The sequence below is a fragment of the Homo sapiens genome, chromosome 21 (assembly GCF_000001405.40).
Source record: "Homo sapiens chromosome 21, GRCh38.p14 Primary Assembly".
NCBI classification, from domain to species: domain Eukaryota; kingdom Metazoa; phylum Chordata; class Mammalia; order Primates; family Hominidae; genus Homo; species Homo sapiens.
In genome coordinates, this window is record NC_000021.9 from 14,742,859 (window position 1) to 14,747,596 (window position 4,738).

The window sequence follows — 4,738 nt, forward strand, 5'->3', positions numbered from 1 at the left end:
AACATTAAGGTAGCATTAAGGTTATGAATTTAAAATGCTGGAGGTGAGCATAGGCAAAGAGTAAGTTTCTTCAAGTAACACTATATATGATTAAAAACAAACTACATGCTTTCAAAAATGCATGCCATAAGGAAGAAATGAGGGGTGGGATGCTCACTGTTATATTGTATGAAAAGAACACATTAAAAAGAGTCATATAATTTGTTTTCTAGGGTATAGACCATGAAAAAGGTATACTTAAACTCTTAAATGCAGTATATTATTCTTCCCCATTAAATACTTTAGAAAAATTTAATCCAAATATCCAAAAAAATTTTAGTTTATTAAGATTGTAAGTGGCTAATAGCTTCAGATTCAGAGGGAACAAGGGGGTAGAGGGACAGCCCTTCATAGGCAGCTACCATTTAAGTGTTCCATTGTCATCCTTAGTGTCAGGAGAGCTAGGACTTTTAGGTTACAGAGGATTTTCCAAGTAAATAATACTGAGTAACTCTGCCAATTGAAGTCTACACGATCTGAAAGAGAAAATAACACAGAAGTCCCCCTTTAGGTTTAGTTTTAAATACAATATTCACTGAGATAATAAGAAACTACTAGTGTTCCAGAACTGTAGAGCCTAGAGCAGCTTGATGCTGTCTCACAATAAACTGACAGAGTTCATTTGGAGGAATTCAAAATTCGCTCAGAAAAATTTCTGAATCTACTAATTTTTTTTCAAAGACTATAACTTGTGATTCTAGCATAAAAGATAAAAGACAAAAATATCAAAAGTAACTATAGCTACAACAATTTGTTAATGGATTTATAAAATTAAAAGATATAAGTTGTGACATAAATAGCATAAAATATGGTGGGGGTGCAGAGTGAGAGTGTAGACATTTTGTATGCAATTGAAGTTAAGCTGTTATTAGCTTAAAATAGACTGTTATAACCCTAAAATGTTACACATAAACTCCATGGTAACCACCAAGAAAAAACTTCTAGAAGATACCAAAAAGATAAAAAGAAAGGAATCAAAGCATAACACTATAAAAATTCAACAAATCACAAAGGAAGACAAATCACAAAGGAAGACAAATCACAAAGGAAGACAAATCACAAAGGAAGACAGCAAGATTGGTAGAAGAGAACAAAGGAAATAGTAATAAAATGGCAACAGTAAGTTCTTGCATGTCAATAATTATCTTAAGTGTAAATGGATTAAATTCGCAATCAAAAGACACGGTAATTAGATGGAGTAAAATTTTGTATAAGTCTATTTTCACACTACCTGGCCAGGCACAGTGGCTCACGCCTGTAATCCCAGCACTTTGGAAGGCCAAGGCGGGCGGATCATGAGGTCAGGAGATCAAGACCATCCTGGCTAACATGGTGAAACCCTGTCTCTACTAATATAAAAAAATTAGCCAGGTGTGGTGGCATGCACCTGTAGTCCCAGCTACTCAGGAGGCTGAGGCAGGAGAATCGCTTGAATCCTGTAGGCAGAGGTTTCATTGAGCCAAGATCACACCACTGCACTCCAGCCTGGGCAACAGAGTGAGACTCCATCTCAAAAAAACAAAACAAAACAAAACAAAACAAAACAAAAAATCTACCTGAGACTGGGTATTTTATAAAGGAAAGAGCAGTTCTGCAGGCTGTACAGGAAGCATGGCTGGAAAACCTTAGGAAACTTACAATCATGGCAGAAGGCAAAGGGAAAGCAAGCACATCTACCATGGCAGAGCAGGACAGAGAGAGAGAAGAGAGCTAAGGGGGAAGTGCTACACACTTTTAAACAAACAGATCTTGTGAGAACTACCTCACTGTCATGAGATCAACAGGGTGAAATTCTGCCCCCGTGATCCAATCACCTCCCACTAGGTTCTTCCCCCAACACTGGAGATTTCAATTCAACATGAGGTTTGAGTGGAGATACAGAAACAAACCATATTATTCCACTCGTGGCCCCTCCCAAATATCATGTCCTTCTTACATTTCAAAACCAATCATGCCTTCCCAACAGTCCCCCAGAGTCTTAACTCATCCCAGCATTAACTCAAAAGTACAAGTCCAAAGTCTCGTCTGAGACAAGCAAGCCAAGTCCCTTCTACCTATGAGCCTGTGAAGTGAAAAACAAGTTACTTCTAAGATAAAATGGGAGCACAGGCTTTGGGTAAATATTCCTGCTCTAAATGGGAGAAATTGGCCAAAACAAAGAGGGGCTACAAGCCCCACACAAGTCTGAAACCCAGCAGAGCAGTCATTAAATCTTAAAGCTCCCAAATAACCTCCTTTGCCTCCATGTCTCTCATCTAGGCCATATTGAAGCAAGGGGTGAGCTCCGAAGGCCTTGGGCAGCTCTGCCCCTGTGGCTCTGCAGTGTCTAGCCCCTGCGGCTGCTTTCTCAAGCTGGCATTGAGTGCCTATGGCTTTTCCAGGTTTGTGGTGCAAGCTGTCATTGGATCTACCATTCTGGGGTCTGGAGGACAGTGGCCTTCTTCCCACAGCTCCACTAGGCTGTGCCCCAGTGAGGACTCAGTGGTGGCTCCAACCCCACATTTCCACTTTGCACTGCCCTAGTAGAGGTTCTCCATGAGGGCTCTGCCCCTGCAGCAAACTTCTGAATAGACATCCAGGAATTTCTATACATCTTCTAAAATCCAGGTGGAAGCTCCCAAACCTCACCTCTTGCTTTCTGTATACCCACAGGTCCAACAACACATGAAGTAATGACTCAAGCTGTACCTTCACCCCTTTTAGCCACGGCTAGAGCTGGAGCAGCTGAGATACAGGGTACCATGTCTGGAGGCTGCATAGACCAGCAGGGCCCTGTGCCTGGCCCATGAAACCTTTTTTCCCTCCTAAGGCTCCAGGCCTGTGATGGGAGGGGCTGCCACAAAGGTCTCTGAAATATCTTGAAGACATTTTCCCCACTGTCTTGGCTATTCATATTTTGTTCCTCTTTACTTATGCAACTTCTGTAGCAGGCTTGAATTTCCCTCCAGAAAATTGATTTTTCTTTTCTACCACTTGGTAAGGCTGCAGATTTTCCAAACTTTTATGCTCCTCTTCCCTTTTAAATACAAATTCTCTTTGCTTATGCAAATGGCCATAGGATTTTAGAAGCAGCCAGATAACCTCTTGAGTGCTTTGCTGCTTAGAAATTTCCTCTGCTAGATAACCCAAATCATCTCTCTCAAGTTCAAAGTTCCATAGATCTCTAGGGCAGTGGCAAAATGCTGCCAGTCTCTTTGCTAAAGCATAGCAAGGATGACCTTTGTTCCAGTTCCCAATAAGTTCCTCATCTCCATCTGAGACCACTTTAAGCTGGATTTCATTGTCCATATTACAATATGTGTTTTGGTCAAAACTACTCAACAAATCTCTAGGAAGTTCTGCACTTTCCCTCACCCTCCTGTCATTTTCTGATCCCTCCAAATTGTTCCAACCTCTGCCCATTATCCAGTTCCAAAGTCACTTCCACATTTTCAAGTATCTTTATAGCAATGCCCAACTCCTCTAGTACTAAGTTTTTATGTTAGTTCATTTTCACACTGCTATAAAGAACTATGTGAGACTGAGTAATTTATAAAGAAAAGAGGTTTAATTGACTCACAGCTCGATAGGCTGTACAGGAAGCATGGCTGGGAGGCCTCAAGAAACTTACAATCAGGGTGGAAGGTGAAGGGGAAGCAAACATGTCTTACCATGTCAGAGCAGGAGACAGAGAGACAGTGGGCAAACAGGGAAGTGCTACACACTTTTAAACAACCAGATCTCCTGAGAACTCACTCACTATAGTGAGAACAGCAAGGGGAAAATCCACCCCCCGATCCAATTACCTTCCACTGGGTCCATCCTCCAACAATGGGGATTACAATTTAACATGAGATTTGGGTGAGGACACATAGCCAAACCATATCATCTTTTAAGGATTTATTTTTAGAAGATCATAGGGTATAAACATTCTTATGACAGAGGGCATGACATAAGAATTTAGAAAACAGAGAATTTAGAAAATAGTCCAGAATTGCTGTCCAGAAAATATTAACTATTGAAAAGGAAATAAGCATTTGAAATAGAAATATAAAGTTAAGCATAAAAGTATTAACATCTAATTATTATAAACTTTCTGTAATTGAAGTTGAACTGTTAGGACAATTTTTAAAGGCAGTATAGTGGTTAAGCATTGCCTTTGAAGCCATCCTTTATGGGTTTAATTCCATTCTGCTATTTGCTTGTTGGGTATTGTATAATTTTCTATGGTTTTCATAAGCGAATACCACAGATTTGGTGGCATAAACAACAGAATTTTATTTTCCTAACTCTGAAGGCTGGAAGTCCATGATCATGGTGCAGGGTTAGGTTCTAATGAGGCCTCTCCTCTTAGTTTGCAGATGGCCATCTTCTTGCTGTGCCCTCACATGGTCTTCTTTTCTGTGCGTGTGCATGCCTGGTGTGTCTTCCTCTTCTTAGAAGGTCATTGGTCCTATTGGATTATAGCCCCACACTTGTGACCTCATTTAACTTATTAACCTCCTTAAAAACTCTGTCTCCAAATATAGTCACATTAGGGGTTAGTGATTCAACACATGAATATTGGGAGGACACAATTCAATCCATAACACGTATACTTGGCCAAGTTACTCGATGTCTGCATATCTGAGTTATCTCATTTGTAAAATCAAGGTAATAATACTTTATTGGCTATGATGGGATTAAATGTGCTTTTATGCATAAAGCATTCAAGAACAGT

General features: G+C 40.2%; 1 long non-coding RNA gene across 1 annotated transcript; it reads right to left on the minus strand.

Moving 5' to 3' along the window:
* Window positions 1-303: 303 nt before the first annotated feature.
* LOC124905054 (uncharacterized) lies at window positions 304-1,631 on the minus strand. Its single transcript, XR_007067926.1, has 2 exons — window positions 1,596-1,631; window positions 304-515 (listed from the first exon to the last, which is right to left on the minus strand). It is a non-coding gene; the product is annotated as an uncharacterized LOC124905054 (long non-coding RNA).
* Between the last annotated feature and the right edge of the window lie 3,107 nt (window positions 1,632-4,738).